Here is a 27,165-nt window from a genome sequence, read left to right as displayed (position 1 = left end):
TATCCTTTGTATTTCTCAGTCCAGTACATGACAAATGCTAGGAACCAAGATTACTGGGTTACAACTTGCCATCTTTAATTAATTAATTAATTTTTTTTTTTTTGAGACGGAGTCTTGCTCTGTCACTCAGGAGCTCTCACACTGGAGTGCAATGGCGTGATCTCGCCTCACTGCAACCTCTGCCTCCTGGGTTCTAGAGAGTCTCCTGCCTTAGCTTCCTGAGTAGCTGGGATTACAGGCATGTGCCACCACGCCTGTAATCAAAATACAGGCGTGCGCCACCACGCCCAGCTAAGTTTTGTATTTTTAGCAGAGATGGAGTTTCACCATGTTGGCCAAGCTGGTCTCGAACTCTTGACCTCAGGTGATCCTCCCACCCCAGCCTCCCAAAGTGCTGGGATTACAGGCGTGAGCTACCATGCCCGGCTGTCAACTTGTCATCTTTATGGTAAATATATTCCTATTACTTTATGATACACCTTTGTTTTGGCCCAAAGTGGCATTACTTGTTTTGATTAATTAATTGCGACTTTACTTACTAGACCTATCTCCAGGTTACTTTGGGATCTTTAAATCAAATCCAGTTGCAAAAAGTTAACATCTACCACTTTAAAAATTATACCAGGAATACATTTGGCAGTAAATAAACTGATGGTTGTTTAAATAAGAAGGGGAGTTATTTATCAAATATAGGATGATGGGAGGTAAGTGGCTAGTGTCTTTGCTCAGTGGCTCAAAAATGTCAAGGTTAGTGTCTGAATCCCTTGGCCTTTCTCTTGGCATTTGAGATGACTGCCTCGTCTCTAGGCATTATATTCTTATTTAAGGCAGAAAGAAGGGGGTGTGCTTGACATCAGTGACGTGTCCATTTTTATCAGGTAAGCAAAACCTTTCCAAGGGGCTCCTGAAAAATTCTTATGTTTCATTTGGCTGTAATCCTGTGTGATATGGTTACCACTAGCTCTAGGGGAGCCTGGAAAAGTGAAGATATTTCCTATTACAGAAAAAGCAGGCAAGGGGAAAGGGTTGGAAATAGATTTGGGATTAGCTATTCAACAGGGTTTGCTAAAGGATATTCGTTATAAGACTGGTAACAGGCTCTGAAGGGAGTTAAGAGCCATTTAGAGCAACAGTACCATTGGTTGCATAAGTTTATAACTTTCCAAAATAGATGAACTTACTCAAACCTTTTCTGCTTTTTCTGTAATAGATTTCTTTGAAAGGAATATCACTTATTTGGAAGTATAAATTCTGAAATTAAAATCTCAAGTCAAATTATAATCACTTTCCTCACTGTGATTTCTGAGTTGAATTGAGTGGACTCAGTGTTGAAGAGAAAGGGCATTCTTAGGCCAGGCATGGTGGCACATGCCTGTAATCCCAGCACTTTGGGAGGCCGAGGCGGGTGGATCATCTGAGGTCAGGAGTTCGCGACCAGCCTGAATAACGTGGTAAAACCTCGTCTCTACTAAATACAAAAAAATTAGCCAGGTGTGGCAGTACATGCCTGTAATCCGAGCTACTTGGGAGGCTGAGACAGGAGAATCGCTCGTACCTGGGAAGTGGAGGTTGCAGTGAGCTGAGATCACGCCATTGCATGCCAGCCTGGGCAACAAGAGCGAAACTCCATCTCAAAAAAAAAAAAAAAAAATGCATTCTAGGCAAGTAATAGTAGTAGTAGCTATGCTATTATTCTGAGTTTCATTTATTTCCAAAATGCCTATTAAGATACCTCCACCTGGATGTCCTATGAGCATTCTTTTAAATACTTTATTGAGATACAGTTTACATATAGTAAAATGTATAAGTATTAAATATACAGCCAGTGCATTCTGATTAATGTATACACCTGTGTGACTATCACCTAAATCAAGATAAAGATGGCCGTCATCCCAGCAAGTTTCCTCTTGCTCCTTTCCTGTCAAGCCCCACCCATTCCAGGCAATCGCTCATCTAATATTTATCACTACAGGTTAGTGTGTCTGTCAACTTCTTAGCAATGGAAGTCACAGAATCACATATCATGTACTCTTTTGTATTTTACTTCTTTTGCCAAAAGTGTTTTTGAGAGTTATCCATGATGTATGATTAGTTCTTCCCCACCCCTCCCCCCCAAGCCTTTTTTTTTTTTTTTGGCCAAGTGTAATATTCCATTATATGAATATACCACAGAATTTCTCCTGTTAATGGAAATTTAAGTTTCAGTTTTTAGCTAGAGGAATGAAGCTGCCATGACTGCAAGCATTTTAAACAGCACCCCAGCTGGAATTGTTCGTCTCTTATCTCCCAGTTGCCTATTTTGAGGCTTCCAATTTTCCTTATCTTATTGAATAGTACCACCTTACTTTGAATATAGTACCACCTTACTTTGAGTATAGTACCACCTTGAGTATAGTACCACCTTACTTTGAGAATAGTACCACCTTACTTTCAGTATAGTACTACCTTACTTTGAGTATAGTACCACCTTACTTTGAGTATAGTACCATCTTACTTTGAGTTACTCACAATAAAGCTTAATCATTTTTTGATCCCTTTTTTATTCTGACAGATAATTATTGACCTTTTATTAGGGACTAGACTTGGTGATAGAGATATAATGAATATAAAACTGTAATCTAATGGGGGCGTGGGCAGTAGTGGAGATAAGTATTAAAAAAACTGCTTTGGAACTCTAGAAGTGCAAAGGAGAGAAGTACCCAGCCTGGGGCAGCTAGGGAAGACTTCCTGGAGGAGGAGATATATTAACTGAAATCTGAAGGGCCCAAAAAAGTTAAAGGGAAGTATATACCAAAATATGAGTAGCATTGTCGTAGTTAAGAGAGCAAAACAGATCATAGGAACTGCAAGAAAGTCAGTATAACAGGTATAGAGAGGATTTGAGGTGGCAGAGGGAGGAAGTGGCAAGAGAGAGGAAGGGGTCGGATTGAAGGGATGTGTGCTGAGTTTGATGGGGTGATGAAAAGTTATTGTGGGGTTTAAAGCAAGGGAACATTACATTTGTGCTTAATACAATGTGAAGGATGCACTTGGAGTGGGGCAGTACTGGAAGCAAGGAGATCTGCTAGGAAATGGTGGCGTATTCCAGGCCAGAAGGGATGAGCTAAGGAGTTGCATTAGAATTAGGAAGAGATTTTTGGCCCTCTGAGAGGACATTTGAGAAACTATAGAATGTGGAGGAAAAGCAGTGTGAGGCCAGAAGAACATGCAACAGGTTAAAGTGTTTGAAGTTAAGGAAAGTGTTGCCATGATCCAGGTATGAGATAAAGGACTAGACTAGGAATTTTAAAAGTATTTTTGATAGAGTTGGCTTTTAATTGAATAAGAATAAAGGAAAGATAACTCCAAAATGACTTCTAGATTTTTTTTTTTTTGAGACAAGGTCTTACTCTGTCACCTATGCTGGAGTGCAGTGGTGTGATCTTGGCTCACTGCAACCTCTGCCTCCCAGGTTCACGCGATTCTTCTGCCTCAGCCTCCCGAGTAGCTGGGACTCTACAGGTGTGCACCACCACACCTGGCTAATTTTTGTATTTTTAGTGGAGACGAGGTTTCACCATATTGGCCAGGCTGGTCTCAAACTCCTGACCTCGTGATCCACCTGCCTCAGCCTCCCAAAGTGCTGGGATTACAGGCGTGAGCCACTGTGCCCGGCCCCCAGCCTAGATTTTTAACCTCAGTAACTGAGAGAACTGTGGTCTTATTGAAAGAGTACGTCAGAAAATGGAGGTGTTTGTAGAGGAGAATGAGTTAATTCTATTTTGAATATATTGGTTTTAAAGTAATGGGGAGCATATCCAAGTAGCATTATTCAGTATAGAGTTGGAAATACTGGAGTAGAAAGTTCAGGTTAGGACTAAAATAAATTTGAATCATTTACATGCTTAGAAGTCATTCAGGTCACAAAAATTCAACCAAATAGCTTGTTTTAGGGGCTGGGATACAAAGACAAAAGACCTACCCGAGCTCTGCTTTTGAGGAGCTTTGAGGCTAGTAGAAGGGATAATATGTTATGATATTCCTCACTGAATATTGTTCGTTATATATATAATATCTTTGAACATACTATCCCTTCTAGAAGGGATATCATAATATCCCTTAATAATAATAATATACATTATTATCCCTTATAATAATAAGGTATAGCCAGGCGCAGTGGCTCATGCCTGTAATCCTAGCACTTTGGGAGGCCAATGCGGGTGGATCACCTGAGGTCAGGAGTTCGAGACCAGCCTGACCAACATGGTGAAACCCCATATCTACTAAAAATACAAAAATTAGCCAGGTGTGGTGGTGGGTGCCTATAATCCCAGCTACTAGGGATGCTGAGGCAGGAGAATCACTTGCATCTGGGGAGGCAGAGGTTGCAGTGAGCCAAGATTATGTCATTGTACTCCAGCCTGGGTGGCAGAATAAGACTCTGTCTCAGAATAATTATAAGAAGGGATAATATGTTCAGGGTACAAACAGAAAGGGATCTTTACTTTGTGACCTGGGAAAGTTACAGTTTTACAAAAGAAAAAGAAGACTGTTTCAAGAATTTATATGGGTTGAGTTTGAATGGGGTAGAGGAAAAGGGGAAGATACCGGGAGTTAAAGATGAATTTGAAGAGTAGGAAGTGCTGTTACAGAAGCTAGGACTAGGAGGCATGATCAGTAGTGTTAGATATTTTGAGGAAGTCAAGCTGTAGACTCAAACAACAAAATTTTTTTTTAACTGTTGGGGTAACAGCTCACAAATAATTTGGTGGATGTCCCCAAAACAGTGAAATAAAGGGGAGAGGTGAGAGGAGTGTTTTAATTTATAATGGGCAATACTTAGAAAAGAAAATAATTATTGAATTTGGAGTGGCTTCAAGGACAATACATTTAAATATTTGTTCCAGAAATTGACCAAACTTTAAACAAAAAACCAGAAGTCATTCTGACTGAAACTGACAACTGGTGGGGCACCATGGCTCATGCCTGTAGTCCTAGCACCTTGGGAAGCCATGGCAGGAGGATTGTGTGAGCCCAAGTGTTTGAGACTAGCTTGGGCAACATGGCAGAACCCCATCTCTACAAAAGGTACAAAAATTAACAATGTGGTAGCCTACGCTTGTAGTCCCAGCTACTTGGGAGGCTGAGGCAGGAGGATCGCTTGAGCCTGAGACGTGGAGGCTGCAGTGAGCCATGATCGTACCACTGAGCGACAGAGGGAGGGAGTAATCGTACTCTAGCCTGGGCGACGGAGGGAGACCCTGTCTCAAAAAAAAAAAAAGAAACGGACAATTTATAGAGTTCTCTAGCTTTTTACCAGGTCTTCAGATTCTTTCTGTGTGGAGAATGGATACAAATTATTTTGTTGACTGATAGAAAGTAATAGCCCAAAGTAGTATCCTCTGAAGTTGCTGTAGTTTGTGTGTCACCTTTTCCAGAAAGGTTGAATTTTGTGGCTTTGAATTCTGTCTGAGAGTAGGAGTCTTGGCTGTTTTTGGACTGTAGAGTGAGAATAAATTGAGATGGTGATGATGCAGGCCAAGTGGAGGTTCATAGAAGTTGATATTTGCAAGACGCTACTGTGTTTCTCATCTGTTATTTTTGCCCCATAGGTTTAACTTCTTTATTCAACAAAAATGCGGATTCAGAAAAGCACCCAGGAAGGTTGAACCTCGAAGATCAGACCCAGGGACAAGTGGTGAAGCATACAAGAGAAGTGCTTTGATTCCTCCTGTGGAAGAAACAGTCTTTTATCCTTCTCCCTATCCTATAAGGAGTCTCATAAAACCTTTATTTTTTACTGTTGGGGTAAGAGCTCACTTTGCTAGGAGTTACCTACCTTGCTAGAAATGCAGTGTTAAAGTACTTTGTCCCATTTGGGCTCCCTTAAAGTAAGGACAGGTAGAGGGGGGATCAAAAAGAGCTGGGCTCATGAATTCTAATTATAGAGTCTGAATTTTTTTTTTTTTTTTTGAGACGGAGTCTCACTCTGTCGCCCAGGTTGGAGTGCAGTGGCGCGATCTCGGCTCACTGCAAGCTCCACCTCCTGGGTTCACACCATTCTCCTGCCTCAGCTTCCCAAGTAGCTGGGACTGTAGGCACTGGCCACCACGCCTGGCTAATTTTTTGTATTTTTAGTAGAGACGGGGTTTCACCTTGTTAGCCAGGATGGTCTCGATCTCCTGACCTCATGATCCGCCCGCCTTGGCCTCCCAAAGTTCTGGGATTACAGGAGTGAGCCACTGCGCCCGGCCTAGAGTCTGAACTTAAAAATTGCTTTTATTATTAAATTCTGGCTTACTTATGTAAGCCCTAGAGAATAAACATATGGGCCTTGTTTGGTACAGCATTTCAAGCGGTGCTAAGTTGGTATTTTCAGTTTTATTTGAGGATTTATAGCTGGAAACAGGCCCCAGGGTATTGTGAAGTTAATACAATGGGAAACAATAAAATGTCCTTTTTGGCCAGGCACAGTGGCTCATGCCTGTAATCCCAGCACTGGAGGCCAAGGTGGGTGGATCACCTGAGGTCAGGAGTTCGAGACCCCTCTGGCCAACATGATGAAACCCCGTCTCTACTAAAAATACAAAAATTAGCCGGGCCTGGAGGCAGGTACCTGTAATCCTAGCTACTCCAGAGGCTGAGACAGGAGAATCACTTGAACCTGGCAGGCAGAGGTTGCAGTGAGCCCATATCGCACCATTACAGTCTGGCCTGGGAGACAAGAGTGAAACTCCATCTCAAAAAGAAAAAAAAAAGCCCTTTTCACTTATTAGGTTTCACTGTGCCAAGTATTCCCTTCTGTTGGTTTGTAAAAAGCAATGACAGTGAAGAATTCTCCTTGGAAATAATGTATAGATCTATTTCCCTCTTAAATCTATTTTGTAATATATCTAATTTTATATAGTTTACAGGCTGTGCATTTGGATCAGCTGCTATTTGGCAATATGAATCACTGAAATCCAGGGTCCAGAGTTATTTTGATGGTATAAAAGCTGATTGGTTGGATAGCATAAGACCACAAAAAGAAGGAGACTTCAGAAAGGAGGTAAAGATAAACACTGCTTTCTTTCTTCTAGTTAATCACGGTTTTAAAAAACTGATACTTAATAGATGCACGTGTTTTCAGTGTACATGATGCATTCACATAATGTGTAATAATGAAATCTGAGGAACTGAATATCTATCACCTTAAACATTTATCTTTATGCTAGGTATATTTGAATTGTTCTCCACTAGCTATTTTGAAATGTACTATAGATTATAGTTGACTGTAGTTACTCTACTGGTAATCCCAGGTTTTGAAGCCTGGTTATTTATGAAGTGCTTTTAGTTAATGGCAACATCAGATTAATAGATGTCAAGTCAGTGCACTTAATATTCTTCACAGTAAGTATTGATTACTGTTTTATATATCTGGTGTTGTACTTAACAGTGTTCCAGAATTCTGTCCCTCTACCCACATGCATCAAAAATCACCACGGATAGTTGTTAAAAATGTTAACGTTGGCCGGGCACAGCGGCTCAAGTCTATAATCCTAGCACTTTGGGAGGCCAAGGCAGTCAGGAGCTGGAGACCAGCCTGGCCAACATAGTGAAATCCCATCTCTACTGAAAATACAAAAATTAGCCAGGCGTGGTGGTGCATGCCTGTGGCCCCAGCTACTCAGGAAGCTGAGGCAGGAGAATCGCCTGAACCCAAGAGGCAGAGGTTGCAGTGAGACGAGATTGTGCCACTGCACTCCAGCCTGGGTGACAGAGCGAGAACTCATCTCAAAAAAAAAAAAAAAGAAAAGAAATTAATGTTAATAGTTGTTAATGTTTCTGCGTGGAGGATGTCTCAGCTCTACTAAAGTTTAAGGATCTCAGTGGATCTCAGCTCTACTAAAGTTTAAAGGCCACTGTTTTACTTGGATCACCTTGATGGATTGCTTTAGAGCAGCAGTCACCAACCTTTTTGGTACCAGGGACTGGTTTTGTGCAAGACAATTTTTCCACAGGTCGGGGTTGCAGGGGGGCAGATGGTTATGGGATGAAACTGTTCCACCTCAGATCATCAGGCATTAGATTCTCATAAGGAGCGTGCCACCTAGATCCCTCACATGTGCATCTCACAGTAGGGTTTGCATTCATGTGAGAATCTTATGCAGCCACTGATCTGACAGGAGGCAGAGCTCTGGTGGTAATGCTCTCCCACTGCTCACCTCCTGCTGTGTGGCCCAGTTCCTAACAGGCCACGGACCACTAGTGGTCAGCAGCCGGGTTGTTGGGGACCCTGGCTTTAGAGTACGTATTTGAACTGCAGGGAATTTTTCAAAATATACATGCCTTAGGGATAGAGCTAGCAAGTGATTTTTTTTTCTAAGAGACAGCGTCCCACTCTGTCACCTAGGCCTCAGTGCAGTAATGGGATCATAGCTCACTGAAGCCTCAAACTCCTGGGTTTGAGCAGTCCTCCCGCCTCAGTCTCCTGAGTAGCTGGGACTACAGGCGTGTGCCACCATGCTGGGCCAATTATTTCATTTTTTGTGGAGACAGGAGTCTCACTTTGTTGCCCAGGCTGGTCTCAAACTCCTGACCTCAAGTGATCTCCCACCTTGGCCTCCCAAAGTGCTGGAATTTCACAAGTGTGAGCCACTGTGCCTGGCCCCAAGAGGAGTTTTAAACGTTTCTCAGTGACATGATATTTACACACCTGTGGTAAATACCTGCTGTTGAGTGTCTCTAAACTGTGCTCGAGATGAAATACGGAAAAAAAAAAAAAAAAAAGAAATATGGAGCTTTTAGAGCTTTTCATTTACTTTATATGCAAGTCGATGGCCCTCTTTCTTAACTGATTTCTTAAAAATGTTTGCTTTTAGATAAAACATGTATTTTGTTTCTTTTTTTTTTTCTTTTGAGACAGAGTCTCACTTGTTGCCCAGGCTGGAGTGCAGTGGCGCGATCTCTGCTCACTGCAAGCTCTGCCTCCCGGGTTCACGCCATTCTCCTTCCTCAGCCTCCGGAGTAGCTGGGACTACAGGTGCCCGCCACCACGCCCGGCTAATTTTTTGTATTTTTGGTAGAGACGGGGTTTCACCGTGTTAGCCAGGATGGTCTCGATCTCCTGACCTCGTGATCTGCCCACCTCGGCCTCCAAAAGTGCTGGGATTACAGGCATGAGCCACCGAGCCCAGCCAATATTTTATTTCTTTTATTCACCAATACATATTGAACACTGAGATTTTAGTTAATATGTGGTTTCAGGCCCATTTGGTTTTCAAGCACTTCTGTTTTTTTAATGACACATTGCCCTTCCAATCTGGAGAGTAGGTTGATATCTTCTTTACTTTTCCCCTTCCTTGGAACAGTGTGATCCTGGCCAGCAAGAGCCTGAGAAGGAAGCCTTGCATTTTCTTTTTGCTAATGATGTTTTGAGTTTTCTCTAAGTAGGGAAAGGGATTCATTCCTCCTTGTTTTCCCATGGGCACATTCAAGAAGCATGAGCCCTATCTGTGTTAGAGAGGCTTTATGCCAGAACAGTGGATAATATTTGCAGGTGAAAATGACAATAACTAGCCATCGGCATCTGTTCAGTCAATGTATTTGAGAAGATAGTAAAACTGACCTATTCCATTATCCTGGATCTCTTACAAAGCTATAGGTTTCCAGCACATGTCTGCACATGAAGTTTTGATATCCAAATGTACCCAAATGGTTCTTGAGAATGGTGAAAAATGATACAAACAGTATACATAATCTTCATTTAAAGATTGATTTGTTTATAATATAATTAAATGATAAGTTGAATGTATAAAACCTATGCCCATTAAAGAAGTTTGAAACAATGTGTAAATTTAACATGGAAACATGAAAGTCCTGGGAACCCCTTTCGTGCCACTATACACGAAGTTCTGGGAGTTCATACACAGTGCAATTATAATTATAGAAATGGAATCGGCCGGGGCGGCTCATATCTGTAATCCCAGCACCTTGGGAGACTGAGGTGGGAGGATTGCTTCAGCCCAGGAGTTCAAGACCAGCCTTGGCAACACAGGGGGACCCTGTCTCTTAAAAAGAAAAAAAAAGAAAATAAATGGAACTATACATACTAATCTGTAGTTTCTTTTACCTTGGATTTTTTCTTTTAATAACAAAATCTGGTTCAATTTCTTAGTTGGAATATATTTTTTATTTTAAAACTTTAATCATGGAAAATTTCAAGCAGATACAAATGTAGAGAGAATAGTATGATGAATCATTATCGTCCAGCTTCAGTGTTCCCCAAGACAGGGCCAATTTTTTTTTCATCTATTTCCCTTTTTTTCCCTTCCCTTTCCACCCTTGTATTATTGTAAAGCAAATTCTAGACGTATTTCATGCATAAAATTTTCAACATGTATCCCTGAAAAATTAGGACCCTCCTCTTTTTATTAAACTCCAGTACCATTACTATATCTTTAAAAAAGTGCAATTTAGTAGACAATATTCTCAGAATTTTAAAACATAAGACCTTGGTATGAATAATCACTTCCTTGGTACCTGTCTGTATCTGTGAGTGTGCTAGGGGCTTTACATTATTGTTATTCCTTGTGATAACACTGCTGGGTACCTATTATTGTCCCATTTCATGTGTCAAGAAACTGAAGTTTAGAAATAATTGTCTGAGGTTCCAGAGCTATCCAGTGGTTGGTTCTGTGTGGAGAATGTGGGCTGCCTGACTATAAAACATGTGCCTTTTCCACTCTACCACGTATTTATTATGTCTGTGACCACCAGTGATTTTTGCAGAAGAGGAATTCCTCTTATGTGCGAGGCATTTTCTTCTGGTTTTTCATTTTTGTAGCCTGAAATTTCTCACATGTGGTGATGCAATTTTCTGTCTGTTTTAGATTAACAAGTGGTGGAATAACCTAAGTGATGGCCAGCGGACTGTGACAGGTTTGTGTTAGCTTACACGTTTTAACCATTCAAGGGAAGAGAAATCAAACCAAAAGGTACAGTATGTCACAAGCAATGGCTCTTGTACCATGCTCACCAGTGGTTTAGAAGACAGTCTCTGTACTGATAGGCTAATGTAATAGTATATAAAGTGGTGAGGTATAAAGGTTTACATGATGCTCTGGGTCCGTTACTTTCTAATTTTGATTTAGTATGATACTGATTGATCAGTTTTGTTGTAGAATTCCAGCTTGTGGAATAGCTTATTAATTATTACTTCCCTTATTAAAGAAACTAATGGAAACATTAAGTACCTTCTATATTCAGGATGCTGTAATACACATTCTGTCCCTACTTGGAGTTGCTTACAGAGTAGTTGTCTCCCTTTTTACAGATAAGGAAACCGGCTTTCAGAGAAGGAACTTTTGAAAGTCAAACTGCTAGTAAGCAATAGAGCAGAGTTTCAAAACCCAAGTCTGTCCATTCGAAAACCAGTTTTCGCTCTTCTCCCCCATGCTATTTATAAAACCCCATTTAAATGTAAGCATGACATGCATGTCACCATGATAACTTTTTTTCTTTGTAAATTGTTATGGAAAGACAGATTTGGCTCTTCAAGTTAACACCTCTGCAATATTTCATGGAGTCAGTTATTTGAGAAACTTGAAAATAGATTTTTGCCAGGAAGAGTGGCTCATGCCTGTAATCCCAGAACTTTGGGAGGCCAAGGTGGGCGGATTCCTTGAGCTCAGGAGTTCGAGGCCAGCTCAGGCAACATGACAAAACCCCATCTCTACCAAAGATACAAAAAATTAGCCAGGTGTGGTGGTGCGTGCCTGGGGTCCCAGCTACTTGGGAGGCTGAAGCAGGAGAATTTTGAACCTGGGAGGCAGAGGTTGCAGTGAGCTGTGGTCCTACTATTACACTCCAACCTGGGTGACAGATGAGACTCTCAAAAACAAAAAAATTTTTTTTAAGTTTTTTAACGATTGCATAGAAAAGAAAAAATTATTTCTAGAGAATTGCAAAATATTGCTTTTGCTCAAATTTGATTAGACTTAAAGTCTAATTGATTAGACTTAAATAAGCATTTAAGACTTATTTTGTACTCTTAATTTTCTGTACTTAAGTGGAGAAAGGGTGTTTATCTTTCTTCATTCAAACTGTTTATTCTCTCTGGAAGGCTTAATTTTTCTGACTTTATTGGAACCCGATGCAGCTTTCAGGCTTATGGTTCAGACATTGCTTCCTTTAGGAAGTGCTTTCTTTTTTTCTGAACTCATTGCAGTTTTTATCATTGATAATGCAGTGTGCCTTATGTAATTGTATGTGTAACATCCTTGAGGGCAGTATAAGCATCTGGAGGACAACAATGACATCTTTCATTTTGTGACAGCACCTAGCATATATCATGTACACAGTAAGGGCACTCAGTTAAAATCTGTTGAGTGAATGAATGTTGAATGGAATCTTAACCAAGGGATTGAGATTTTTCAGTGTTGCCATAACTAAGACCATAGAATTGATAGGTCAGTGACATCTTAAAATGATTACTTCAAAGATAGCTCTTTAGTAGCACATCTGTTTCCACTAGATTAATGTATTTTGTTTGCTTGCTTCTTTTATGAAAGTAATGAGGCTGGGTGCAGTGGCTTACGCCTGTAATCCCAGCACTTTGGGAGGCCGAGGCGGGCAGATCACCTGAGGTCAGGAGTCAGAGACCAGCCTGGCCAACACGGTGAAACCCCATCTCTACTAAAAATACAAAAAATTAGCTTAGGCGTGGTGGTGCACGCCTGTTAATCCCAGCTACTAGGGAGGCTGAAGCAGAATTGCTTGAACCTGGAAGGCTGAGGTTGCAGTGAGCTAAGATTGCGCCACTGCACTCCAGCCTGGACGACAGAGCGAGACTCTGTCTCAAAAAAAAAAAAAAAAAAAGTAACGAAATTAAGATTTCTTTAGGGTGGCAAGGTTTTGCCTTCACTATTTTCAAAGCATTTCACTATTAGTTTATACCTCACATTCTTTGAAGGTGGTCATGATTTTATGCCATTTAACATATGAAGAAGCCTAGCATCAGAGTTTAAAACCTTTTCTCATGCTGGTGAATACTTTCTTCAAAGAAGCTAGAGGTAATTAAAAATCAGAATTCTTTCCCCCTAGTCTTTTTCTTTTTTGAAATCAAATCAGCCATTTGGCATGAAGAGCGTAGCAGTAGAGAGAGATGCTTGTGATCTGTCTTGCAACTTGAATGTAAGCTGCTTTGAACAACATAAATGTGAATGGTCATGCTGCAGGTCTTAAATCTTTATTGTTAGATTATCCAAGTGACTTTAACCTCAGGAAATGCCATTTGAACTGTCTTGTGTCACCTCAGACTTTTCTTGTAGGAAATAATTATTCTAGTAATAGTGATTCTAGCTTTACAATGTCTGTAAGTGGTGCTTAATCAATTACCTATATATGAGAGTCTCAAGAATAAACTGTTTATTTAGTATGTCTTGTCTTCTTCCTGGGGTGCCAATTAGTCCAGCTTTCCTTGCTGAGCACTCCTGATTGCTTCTTGTAGACTGCAAAGTGAAGTTGGCTCAGCTTCTGGTTTTAATCAGTGATAGATTTATGGGGTGACAGGTCTACTCCGTCCCACTTTCTTTCTTTGGATTGGAGATGTTTTCCGAATGGGTTTTTTTTTTTTTCGTTTTATATTTTGAAAGAACTTGACAAGTTTGACCTAGAGAGTTTTTAAAGCTTTGTGAGACCAGTGTGCCTCTCTGCTTTGTAGTATTCATACCTAGACAATGGCAGCATGAAAGCTCTAGTCGGTTAAAGATTTCTCACTGCTACACCAAACACTTCATGTAAGTATTCCTTGCCATTGAATCTGTTGAGCTCTTGAATTTGGATGGAAAGATTTTGGATACGGTAAGTTCAGACAGTAAAGTGTTAATCCAAATATACATAGTTTCTGAGTTTCAGAGAATGAGGGGTATCTCAAATTTATCCATGTCTCTTTGGTTCCTAGGTATAGGTAAGAACAGTCAGATTGTAAGGCATACCCATAATTTATTTTATTGTTAAGGTGGCATCTGGTGGTGAGGTAAAAAACCCCTTTCTAGCTGGGTGCAGTGGCTCATGCCTGTAATCCCAGCACTTTGGGAGCACTTTTGGGAGGTGGATCACCTGAGGTCAGGAGTTGGAGACCAGCCTGGCCAACATGGTGAAACCCCATCTCTACTAAAAATACAAAATTAGCTGGACGTGGTGGTGCATGCCTATAATCCCAGCTACTTGGGAGGCTGAGGCAGGAGAATCGCTTGAACTTGGGAGGCAGAGGTTGCAGTGAGCCGAGATCATGCCATTGCCCTCCAGCCTGGGCAGTAGAGTGAGACTCTGTCTCAAAACAACAACAAAAACCTCCCCTTCTTACAGCTGATGCCAGGTTTGGAGTCTGTAGTTTTGTTTTTGTTTTTGTTTTGAGATGGAGTCTTGCTCTGTCACCCAGGCTGGAGTGCAGTGGCGTGATCTCTGCTCACGGGCAAGCTCTGCCTCCTGGGTTCACGCCATTCTCCTTCCTCAGCCTATAAGTGCCCGGCTAATTTTTTTGTATTTTTAGTAGAGACGGGGTTTCACCGCGTTAGCCAGGATGGTCTAGATCTTCTGACCTCGTGATCCACCGCCTCGGCCTCCCAAAGTGCTGGGATTACAGGCGTGAGCCACCGCGCCCGGCGAGTCTGTAGTTTTTGACTGTTCTGTCTCAATCTGTCTGTGCAAATCCCTTTTTAAAGCTATGCTAGGAAACTTGTTTTAATCCTTTTTTTTTGGTTTGTTTGGGGATTTTTTTTTTGGTCTTAATTTTTATTACACAGAAATAATCTCCCCAGGCTTCATATTGCTCTGAAAAAGTGTTTATAAGCCCACTAGGTATTTGTGGGGCAAGCGGGGAGTATAACGTGGCATTCTTCAAACTTAAATTTGTCATCCCTGGTGCTTTTATATTTCACCTAATTTTCTGTTCTATTGCCCTGATCTGTCAGCCTTTTAAGCCTCTCCTAGAGGTCCCCAGGCAACCCCCAGAGAGAATATTTTCTCCTCCCTTTCTAGCTTTCAGGGTTGTCTTTGAGGCACTTGCCAGGTTTTCCTGTTAGTTCAAGAGAATGCTGACTTTACTGTATTGAGATTCAGGTAAAGCCACAGGAAAAAATCAGCTAAATTATTATTTTTGATCAAGAAGGAGCAAGGACAGAAAAGGATAGGGAGAGAGATCGCAAGAAAACTGTGCCGTAGTTCCTCTACTAGTGTATTTTTTGTCAGCTCCAAAGCTTAGTCACTACTACTCTCCAGTCTTTGACCCCTTGCCCCAACTTCTAAAGTCTATTCTTTTTTCTTTGCTGTTCTGTTTCTGCCAGGCTTATTCTTTTTCATTTCAGTTCTCTCTCTCCTTGTACCTTTTCAAGGTTTTGAGCTGTCTTCCCAGACTAAGGCCTCCTTACCTATTCCTGATGTTGCTGGTAAGGCAATGTTTTCCTTGGTCTTATAGCCCATCTTTACCTTTTAATCAGAATCAGTCACTGTTTTTCTGTAACTCCTGACTTCCCAGTCTGCAAACAAGTTATTTTTGTAGAAGAATAGCAAAGTTAATCCTTGAGTGCCAACCACACTTCAAGTATCATGCTATGTGCTTTACATGCATTTCTATTATTATTAGTCATCATAAGAACCCTGTTATCCTCATTTCTCAGATGGGGCAAGGAACGGCCAAGTAACTGCGATCACACAGCTAGAACTGGGTGGATTCGGGAATCAAATCCACTTCATGTATCAAAGAATAGGGTTTTTATTATGTCCTTTTCACTTTTCTAGAATAGCAAACCACCATTAATTACCTTTCTGATAAACCACACTGCCTCCCCCTATCAAGTATCTGGGTGCTGATTCACAGCACAAATTGCAGCAAATTGTTCCAAAGTAGCAGCCTACCCCCAGGGAGGAAAGGGAGCCCTTTTTGACTGCCTAGACTAGATTTTGTCATTGTAAAATGAATAAATATGCATGGTAGCAGATGAAAATTGGAATAGAGGATACATAAAGTGAAAAATAAGTCTTTCTCTCACTCTGAACTTCCAGTTCTGCACTTTTCCTTTCCCATAATAACCATTGCATGTTTAGTTACTTGTGTGTTCTTCCAAAGCATCTATTTATATATAGGCATTTATATCTATCTGTGGTTTAACACAAAAATAGAAACATGCAGTACATACTCTTCTGCACCATGATTTTTTTTCACTTAATATTTTAAAGAACATTCTATATCAATACAAGTAGGTTTGTTACATTCTTTTTAATATTTTATTGAGGTATAATATACATAGAAGAATGTGAATATGTCAGATGTACAACTCAACTAATTAATTTTCACAGGCTGAGCACATCCATGTAACCAGCACCTGGATTGATAAATGGAAATTACCAGCACATCAGGCTTTTTTGTTTGTTTTGGTTTGTTTTGAGACAGCGTCTCACTTGTCACTCAGGCTGGAGTGCAGTGGCATGATCACGGCTCACTGCAGCCTCAACCTCCCAAGGCTGGTCTTGAGCTCCTGGGCTCAAGTGATCCTCCTGCCTTGGCCTCCCAAATTGCTGGGATTACAGGTGTGAACCACTGTGCCTGGCCAGCATATTCTTTTTAATGGCATTATGGTATTCCATGTAAATGAGTATTATTTAACAAATCTTTTATTAATAGATATTTAGGTTGTTTTCAGTCTTCTGCTTTTATGAATATTACTACAGTGAAATGCCTTATATATAGATCTCTGTACCTTGTACAAGTATATTTTTAGGATAAGTTACTGGAAATAGAATTGCTGGGTCAAAGAATATACATTTAAAATTTTGTGTATTGCAAAGTTGTCTTAAAAGAAGTTGTGTACCATTTTAAATGTCCTCCAACAATGTACAGAGTATAAATACATCAGATTGATTTCTAAAAGTTCCCCACAGGGGAGGTTAGATATTCTCATCTGCAGGGAGAGTACAGAGAAATAACAATCCTTTTTTGTGGTTAGCAATTACAAGGGCCTTTGCCTCCCTCATTGTGAATTTGCCCTTTCTGTTTACCCGTATTAGTTTCAAACTTTCTGTCTCTATCCCAGTGGGAGGATGGAAGATGGACAGTCTCTCTGGGTTTCTTCTTGATTCCAGGTAGCTGTGGACCCAGTCCTTAATTAGTTTGGTGGATACTGCCTAGGAAAAGAAATGATAGCCACTGTGTGAGGCCAACAGGTTGATCTTTGCACCTGCCTGGTTCCCAGAGAACCTGAGGTAAGGATGGCTTGAGCCTAGTTCTTTGGCTGCTGTGGATGTACTTGCTTGTCAGTGTCTGGACTGGCCAGGTCTGGGTTGGTATAGTAGCCCCTTCAGATAAAGGAGCTTTGGAGGGGTGAATTGGCCCACCCAGAAACAGAGGGGATCTGTGAATAGCTATTAGACCCCAAGTGGTATGGTAAGTCCTTTATAGGAAAATGAGAAAAAGGGTTTTACTACCTTTCTTGGGCTGAGGAGGAAGATAACCTGAGGTCATTGAACCAAGTAGTGCTTTCCAAATCAGTGCATCTGCCTTTTTAAAAATTAAGATATAATTCACATATAAAATTCACCATTTAAAGCAGGGGTTCCCAGCCCTGGGCAGGGACTGGTACCAGAACCGGGCTGCAGAGCAGGAGGTGAGCGGCAGGGGAACAAGTGAAACTTTGTTTGTGGGGTTTTTTTTGTTTTTTTTTTTGTTTGTTTATTTTTTTGAGACAGAGTCTTGCTCTGTCACCCAGGCTAGAATGTAGTGGTGTGATCTTGGCTCACTGCAATCTCTCCCGGATTCAGGTGATTCTCCTGCCTTAGCCTCCCAAGTAGCTGGGATTACAGGCACCTGTCATCACGCCTGGGTAACTTTTGTATTTTTAGTAGAGACAGGGTTTTGCCATGTTGGCCAGGCTGGGATCTAGGTTGTGTACTCCTTATGAGAATCTAATGCCTGATGATCTGTTACTGTCTCCCATCATACCCAGACAGGACTGTCTGGTTGCAGGGAAACAAGCTCAGGGTTCCCACTGATTCTACATTATGATAAGTTGATAAGTTGTGTAATTACTTCATTATATATTATGATATAATAGAAATAAAGTGCAGAATAAATGTAATGCACTTGAATCATTCTGAAACCATCCCCCCACCCCTGGTCTATGGAAAAATTGTCTAACACAAAACCGGTCCTTGGTGCCAAAAAGGTTGGAGACCACTGATTTAAAATGTGCAGTTGGCTGAGTGTGGTGGCCCACACTTGTAATCCTACCACTTGGGAGGCCTGGCACTTAGGAGGCCGAGGTCAGAGGATTGCTTGAGTCTAGACCAGCCTGGGCAGCATAGTGAGACCTCCCACATCTCTCTAAAAATAATAATAAATAAAAATAGAAAGCCAAAGTAAATTCAGTGGTTTTTATTATATTTAAAAGGCTGTGCAACTATTAACGTCATCTAATCCCAGGGCCTTTTCATTATCCCAGAAAGAAACCCCATTCCCGTTAGCAGTCACTCCCCCATTCCCTCCTTCCCTCCTTCCCCTCAGCCTTAGGCAGCCATCAACCTGCTTTCTCTAGGGACTTTCCTCTTCTGGAGATTTCATATACATCAAGTCACATAATATGTGGCCTTTTGTGTCTGTTTCTTTCACTTAGCATAATGTTTTTAAGGTTCACTCGTGTTGCAGTATATATCATCAGTACTTCTGTTTCTTTTTATGGCCAAATGATATTCCAGTGTATGGATATATTACATTTGTTTATTCCTTCATCAGTTGATGGGCATTTGAGTTGTTTCCATTCTTCAGCTATTAATAATGGTGCTATGAACCTCCATGTGCACATTTTTGTGTGGACATATGTTTTCATTTCTCGGTATATATAGCCAGGAATGGAATTGCTGGGTCATATGGTAACTGTTTTTTTTTTTTTTAATTGTAAAAAAAAAAAACATGAAATATACCATCTTAATCATTTTTAAGCATATAGTTCAGTAGAGTTCAGTATATTCACATTTTTGTAAAACCAATCTCTAGAACTTTTTCATTTTGCAGATCTGAAACTCTACTCATTAAACAATACGTCCCCTTTTTCTCCTCCCTTCATCCCTTGATAACCACCATTCTACTTCCTTTTTCTATGCATTTGGCTACTTTAGATACCTCATACAAGTAGAATCATAAAATACTTGGTGTTTTGGACTGGCTTATTTCATAATGTCCACAAGGTTTATCCATGTTGGAGCACGTGACAGTATTTACTTCCTTTTTTAAGGCTAAATAATATTTTATTTTGTGTGTATATCACATTTTGTTTATCCATTCACCTATTGATGGACATTTGAGTTATTTCTACCTCTTGTTATTGTGAATAATGCTGCTATGAAAATGGGTGTGCAAATATCTCTTTGAGACCGACCATGCATTCGATTCTATTTTTTGAGATGGAATCTCACTCTGTCGCGTGGGCTGGAGTGCAGTGGCGTGATCTCAGCTCACTGCAAGCTCTACCTCCCAGGTTCAGGCAATTCTGTCTCAGCCTACCGAGTGGCTGGGACTACAGGTGTACACCACCATGCCCGGCTAATTTTTGTATTTTTTTTTTTGGTAGAGACAGGGTTTCACCATATTGGTCAGGCTGGTCTCAAACTCCTGACCTCAGGTGATCCACTTGCCTCGGCCTCCCAAAGTGCTGGGATTACAGGCATGAGCCACCACACCTGGCCAATTCTTTTGGATGTATATCCAGTTACAGGATTGGTGGATCACATGGTTATTGTATTTTTAATTTTTTGAGGAATTCTCACGCTGTTTTCCATGGCGGTTGTACCATTTTACATTCTCGCCAACAGCGCTCAAGTCTTCCAATTTCTCACATTCTTGCCAACATTTGTTATTTTCTCTTTGTGTGAGTGTGTAGGTGTTTGACAGTAGCCATCTTGATGAGTGTGAGATAATACCTCACTGTGGTTTTGATTTGCTTTTTCTGGTGATTAGTGATGTTGAGCATCTTTTCACGTGCTCGTTGGCCATTTGTTTTATCATCTCTGGAAAAATGTATTTCAAGTACTCGAGTTATTTGATTTTTTTTTGTTGTTGAGTTATAAGCATTCTTTTTCGTTTGTTTTTTTGAGACAGAGTCTTGCTCTTTCGCCCAGACCAGAGTGCAGTGGAGCGATCTCGGCTCACTGCAATCTCCATCTCCTGGGTTCAAGCACTCTTCCCACCTCAGCTGGGATTACAGGCGTGTGCCACCACGCCTGGCTAATTTTTGTACTTTTTAGTAGAGATGGGGTTTCGCCATGTTGGCCAGGCTGGTCTCGAAACCCTGACTTCAAATGATCCACCTACCTCAGCCTCCCAAAGTGCTGGGTTTACAGGCATGAGCCACTTGCACCCGCCTGAGTTATAAGCATTCTTTATTTGTTCTTGATATCACCCCCTTTTCAGATACATTATTTGCAAATACTTCCATTCTGTGATTTATTTCTGCTTTTTTACTCTTTTGATTGTATCTTTTGATACACAAAAGTTTTTAAGTTTGATATAGTCCCAGTTGTCTATTTTTTCTTTTGTTGCCTGTGCCTTTGGTGTCATAGCCAAGAAATCATTACCAAGTCCAGTGTCATGAGGCTTCTCTTCTGTTTTCTTCTAGGAGTTTTATAGTTGAGGGTCTAACATTTAGGTCTTTAATCCATTTTGAGTTAATTTTTGTATATTGGTATAAGATAAAGATCTAGCTGCTGTCTTTTGCATGTGGGTATCCAGTTTTCCCTTTGTTTTCTTTTTGAAGAACTATCAAATTGTTTTCCATAGGTAGCTACACCATTTTCCACTCCTTCAAGTAGTGTGAGGATTCCATCTGTTATTGCCTGTCTTTTCTATCAGCAACTACAATTTTTTTTGTATTTTTTAATTGTAAAATATATATAACATAAAATTTGCCATTATAGACATTTTTTAGTGCACACTTTAGTTGCTTTAAGTACATTCACAGTGTTGTAGGTTGGGCATGGTGGCTCATGCCTGTAATCCCAGCACTTTGGGAGGCGGAGGTGGGAGGATTGGCTGAGGCCAGGAGTTTCAGACAGTGTTGTATAACCGTCACTACTATCTATTTCCAGGACTTTTTCATTATCCCAAACAGAAACACTGAACCTGTTAAACAATAGCTCCCTATTACCCCCTCCCCTCAGCCACTAGTAACCGCATTCTACTTTCTGTCTCTGTGAGTTTGTCTATTCTAGATCCTTCATATAAGTGGAACCATAATTTTTTTTTCTTTTTGGTCCAGCTTCTTTTGCATAGCATAGCGTTTTAATGGTTCGTCGATATTGTAGCATGATGAAAATTTCCTTTGTAAAGCTCAAATATTCCATTCTATGTATTTACCACATTTTGGTTATCCATTCTTCTGTTGATGGACATTTGGGTTGTCTCCATCTCTTGGTTATTGTGACTAATGCTGTGATGTACAAAGGTTCTGACATCCCCACATCCTTGGCAATACTGTTTTTAATTTTTTTGAGACAGAGTCTCGCTCTGTCACTCAGGCTGGAGTGCAGTTGTATGAACATGGCTCACTACAACCTCAACCTGGTCTCAAACAACCCTCCTTCCACAGCCTCTTGAGTAGCTGGGACCATAGGCACGCGCCACCACACCTGGCTAATTTTTTAATTTTCTGTAGAGATGAGGTCTTGCCAAGTTGCCCAGGCTGCTTTCGAACTCCTGGGCTCAAATAATCCTCTTGCCCCGGCCTCCCAAAGTGCTGGGATTACAGGTGTGAGCCACCATGCCTGGCCTATTTTCCTTTTTTTTAAATGTGATAATAGCCATCGTAATGGGTATAGTTTTGATTTCCATTTTGCTAGTGACTAGTAATGGTGAGCATCTTTTCATGTGCTTATTGAGTATTTGTGTTTCTTCTCTGGAGAACTGTCTATTTACTTCCTTTCCCATTTTTACATTGGGTTGTTGAGTTTTTTTTTATATATTCTGGATATTAATCCCTTATTGGATATGATTTGCACATTTTCTCCCATTTTGTTGCCTTTATTATATCCATCCTGGTGAGTGTGAAGGGGTGTATCACTGTGGTTTTGATTTGCCTTTCCTTAATGACTAATGAACATCTTTTCATGTCTTATTGTATATTTATTCTTCTTCGGAGAAATGCCTGTTTCTCCAAATCTTTTTCCCATTTAAAAATAGCTATTTATCTTTTTATTGAGTTGTAAAAGTTATTTATATATTCTGGATACTAGACCCTTATTAAGAGATATGATTCACAAATATTTTTCCCATTCTGTGAGTTGTCTGATCACTTTCTTCACAGTGTTTTCTGAAGCATAAACATTCTAATTTTGCTGAAGTTCATTTTATCTATTTTTTTCTTTTGTTGCTTGTACTTTTAAGTGTCATGTCAAGGAAACCGTGACCTAATTCAAAGTCACAAAGATGTGTACCTATGTTTTCTTCTAAGAGCTTTAAAATTTTAGCTCTTAAATTTAGGCATTTGATTAATTCGGAGTTAATGTTTGTATTTGAGATTTGAGATAGGGGTCCAAACTCATTCTGTGCTTATGGCTATCCACTTGTCTGAGCACCATTTTTTGACAAGACTATTCTTTCCCCTAGTGAATTGTTTTGGAACCTTAGTCAAAAATCAGGTGACCGTAATCGTATGGGTGTATTTCTGGACTGTCAATTCTGTCCATTGATCTATATATCTGACCTTATTCTAATACTACATTGTCTTTATTCCTGTAGGTTTGTGTTGTAAATTCTGAAACTATGAATTGTGAGTCTTCCAACTGTTAATATGAAATATTACATTGATTTTTCATATGTTGAACCAAGCTGGCATTCCTGTGACAAATTCCACTTGGTCATGATTTATAATCCTTTTTATATATGGCTGGATTTGGTTTGCCAATATTTTCTTGAGGATTTTTGCATCTCTTTTCATAAAGGAATATTGATAGTTTTTTGTGATGTCTTTGGTTTTGATACGGAGGTGATAGTGGCTACATAGAATGTTCCTTCCTCTTCTATTTTTTGAAAGAGTTTGAGAAGGATTGGTGTTAATTCTCTTTTATATTTGGTAGAATTTCCCAGTTGTAGTAAGTTGAATAGTGTGCTTCCCCAAAATTTGTGTCCACGTAGAACCACAGAATGTTACTTTACTTGAAATAGGGTCTTTGCAGATTTGATTAGTTACAGAGAGATCATATTACATTAGGATGTACCTTAAATCCATTGACTCATGTCCTTATAAGAAGAAGAGAGGACAAAGAAAAATACAGAAAACAAGACCAAAGAGATGGTGGCAGAGATTGGAGTGATGCACCTGTAAGCCAAACAATGCCAAGAATTGTCGAGAGCCACCAGAAGCTAGGAAGAGGGGAGGAAGGACACTTCCCTAGACCCTTCAAAAGGAAGCATGGCCCTGCTGACACTTTACACCTTGATTTCAGACTTCTAGCTTCCAGAACTGGAAGAGAATAGATTTTTGTTTTAAGCCACCAAGTTTGTGTTACAACAGCTGTAGGAAACTCAAATACTAGTGAAGCCAATGAGAAACATAGGCACCTAACACCTAATCTGGCTCTGGGGTTTTCTTTGTGGTAAGTTTTTTGAATTACTAATTCAGTCTCTTTACTTACTCTTGGTCTGTTCAGATTTTCTATTTCTTCGAGTCAATTTTAGTAGTTTGTATCTTTCTAGGAATTTTAAATTTCATCTAAGTTATTCTCATTTGTTGGTATATAATTGTTCATTGTATTTTGTAGTAATTCTGATTTCTATAAGGTTCGTAGTAACATTCTGCTTTCATTCCTGATTTTAGTAATTTGTTTTTATTTTTATTTTTCTTTTTTAGCAAATCTCAGACCTGTATGAGATGACTTTTGTAATTTGAGTCTTTTTTTCTTTGTCACTGTAGCTAAAAGTTTGTCAATTTTATTGATCATTTCAAACAAATCCAACTTTTGGATTTATTAATTTTTCTGTTATTTTTCTATTCATTTACGTATGTTCTTCATTCTTTCCTTCTGCTTCCTTTGGTTTTAGTTTGCTCCTCTCTACACTTTCTTAAGGTGAAAAGTTAGATTATTGAATTGAGATCTCTTTTTTTAATGTGGGCATTCATAGCACCACTTTTGTTGCCTCCTATAAATTTTGGTATATTGTATTTTTGTTTTCATTCATCTGAGTTTCCTAGTTGCCCTCGTGATTTCTTCTTTGAACCGTTGGTTATTTAGGAGTTTGTTAATTTCCATATACTGGTGAATTTTCTGAATTTATTTCTGTATTGATTTGTAATTTCATTCCAAGTGATCAGAGGACATAGTTTGTATAATTTTAGTGTTTTAGTTTAAGTTTATTGAGAGTTGTTTTGTGACTGAACATATCCTGGAATGTGCTGCATGTGCACTTGAGAAGAATGTATATTCTGTTTTTGTTGGGTGGTGTGTTCTATAGATGTCTGTTAGGTCTAGTCGTTTTATAGAGCTGCTGAAGTCTTTTGCTTCCTTGCTGATCATTTAATTATTCTCTCCATTATTATAAATAGAGTTCTGAAGTCTCCAGCTATTATTGTTATTTATTCCTTTAGTTCTGTCCATTTTTCTTCATTTTTGAGATTCTTTTGTTAGGTACATATGTTTCTAATTGCTATTTCTTGATGGATTGACCTTTTCATCATTATATAATATCCTCCTTTTTCTCTAGCAATGAATTTTGTCTTAAGGTCTATTTTGTCTTACTATGCATGTGGCCTTGTAGAGTCCAGGAATATGTTAGAGGTTTTCAGAGTTTCTATGGAAATCTTATTCCCCTGCTTTTCCTCAAGATTTTTGATTAGTCTCTTATTTGCCCCCAAGTGTTATCCATCATCTCAGGCAGCCTCAAACTTAAAACACTTACCTGTCATTGTTTTTGACAAATGCCCTCTGTGAAAAGTTTTATACTTGGGGAGCTCCCAGTCAGGTTAAACAGACAGCCCTGAAAGTGGGTTTTGCATGGAATCAACAGCCAGGTCAAATAATGACAATTCTTTGGGAATGAGGCTTTGAAAGAGCTCCAGCTCCATTCTACCAGCTACCTCGGTTTTCAAGACTACCTTGTAACTAGAGAGTGGGGGATTGGACTAGGCCAAGTTAAAATGCTGCAAAGCTTTGGGAGGCCGACGCGGGCAGATCACGAGGTCAGGAGATTGAGACCATCCTGGCTGACATGGTGAAACCCGGTCTCTACTAAGAATACAAAAAATTAGCTGGGCGTGGTAGCGGGTGCCTGTAGTCCCAGCTACTCGGGAGGCTGAGGCAGGAGAATGGTGTGAACCCGGGAGGCGGAGCTTTCAGTGAGCGGAGATTGCGCCACTGCACTCCAGCCTGGGAGACAGCGAGACTCCGTCTCAAAAAAGAAAAAAATGAATAAACAAACAAAAAACGCTGCAAAGCTAGGTGTTTTGAGATTCAGCTGTTTTTCTTAAGTAAATACACCCTGGTTTGCTATAAGCCTTTGATTAGTTTCCAGAGTTCTGAAAAGGTTGATTCTGACATTTTTTGCCAGTTCTTTCATTGCTCTTATGAAGGAGAGTTTTCAGAGCTCCTTACTTTGTTATTTTTCACTGACATAGTCCAGTGCGTTACACAGGTGTGAGGGTAGGCACTAGGACAGCAGTGCCTTCCTGAATCAGTAGTGCCAAGCTTGTCCAAGAGTTACCGAGTCAGGAAGAAGCAGGTGACATCCCTCCTAAGTGGAGATATACAAAACTTAAGCTCTTCTATTTCTCAAAGGAAAAGGAGAGAGGAGGAAACCATTATTCTTTGTTCATTTGCATGCTAGGTGCATGTACTATCTTATTTAAGCCTCACTACAACCTTTATGAGGTAGGAGGTATTGTCCTCATTTTACAAATGAGGGAATAAAGTGCCACAGGCCACAAAACTGCTAAGTGACATACTTAGGATTCAGACTTGAAAAGGCCATTCTCTTTTCACCATGTTTTCCATTTGCTGGTTCACTGTGTGACTGCTACATTTCATCATGTTTTCTCATTTCATCGTCACTCAGCCCTTTTTTTTCTTTTTATTTATTTATTTATTTATTTTGAGACAGGGTCTCCCTCTGTCGCCCAGACTGGAGTACAGTGGTGCAATTTTGGCTCACTGCAGACTTGACCTCCTGGGCTCAAGCAATCCTCCCACCTTAGCCTCCCAAATAGCTAGGACCCAAGCATGTGCCACCATGCCCAGCTGATTTTGTTCATTTTTTTGTAAAGAGGAGGTCTCACTATGTTGCCCAGGGTGGTCTCAAATTTCTAGGCTCAAGGGATGGATCCTCCTGCCTGGACCTCCCAAAGTGCTAGGATTATAGGCGTGAGCCACCACACCCGGCCCGTTCAACCCTTTCAGGTAGATTTTATTATTCTCATTTTACAGAAGAGGAAACAAGCTGAGCGGTTAGGCCTCTTCCCCAGGTTATAATGTAAGTAGGACAGAGTCACTTCTGCTGGACTCCTTCACCCATACTTTTAGCCAAAATGCAGTACTGCCTCAGTAGGCCTAGGATTGCCACACATCCTCTCATGCTCATCCGCTTCTGGGGACCAGCATATGCTGTTTCCCAGCAAGGAAGCCGTTTTTATGTGGTGTCTGAAGTCCTAGAGTGACCAAGGTCAAAATAAATCCTCCTGGCTACCCATGTCTTGATGTATAGTAGAAAGAGCACTAGATTAGGAATTCTGGCTTGGCCACTGAATTTGGCCCTCTGACAACTTGTACCTTTTAGAGCCTGTTTTTCTCATCTATAACTGGCCTTCAGAATAGGGTTTACAAAGAAGAAAGTATGTGCATTTCACTTTTCTTATTTCTTTTAAATTTGTTAAGTGTGTCTTATGAATTTATAGTGGTTCACGTACATAATTTGTTAATAAGTATACATATATGGGATGTGTCTGTTACTAATGGATGGTGTTTACTAATGGGGTGCCCCATGAAAGCAGTTTGATGACCACTGGCTTATGAAGTAAGGGATTTTGGCTACAGTCTGTTTCAGTGCCAGTACTCATTATTTATCAGAAAAGCTTCTTGCGTTTGGATTGAAAACTTAGCAGTGTTAACTCTTTGTCTACTGTTAACCTCAATGTCTTTGGTTATCTTTCCCCCCGCTTTTTTTTTTTTTGAGAC

At 40.2% G+C, this 27,165-nt stretch overlaps 1 protein-coding gene across 14 annotated transcripts in view; it reads left to right on the top strand.

Moving 5' to 3' along the window:
* PARL (presenilin associated rhomboid like) overlaps positions 1 to 27,165 on the top strand; it is a 58,392-nt gene that overhangs the window by 11,229 nt on the left and 19,998 nt on the right. For 10 of the 14 annotated variants that reach the window (XM_017006802.2, XM_017006801.2, XM_017006800.3 and 7 more), the window contains exons 2-4: positions 5,592 to 5,787; positions 6,887 to 7,027; positions 10,851 to 10,899. In XM_017006802.2, coding sequence (XP_016862291.1) covers positions 5,592 to 5,787; positions 6,887 to 7,027; positions 10,851 to 10,899 — 386 coding nt within the window. Of the gene's footprint in view, positions 1 to 5,591; positions 5,788 to 6,886; positions 7,028 to 10,850; positions 10,956 to 17,100; positions 17,221 to 27,165 lie in introns of those variants that run through there. The other 4 variants (NR_136893.2, XM_047448518.1, XM_024453631.2 and 1 more) reach the window with 4 other exon arrangements.

This window comes from Homo sapiens, chromosome 3 (genome assembly GCF_000001405.40).
Source record: "Homo sapiens chromosome 3, GRCh38.p14 Primary Assembly".
Taxonomy (NCBI): Eukaryota; Metazoa; Chordata; class Mammalia; order Primates; family Hominidae; genus Homo; species Homo sapiens.
The sequence above is the reverse complement of the archived record's forward strand: the minus strand, read 5'-3'. Positions and strand labels throughout refer to the sequence as shown.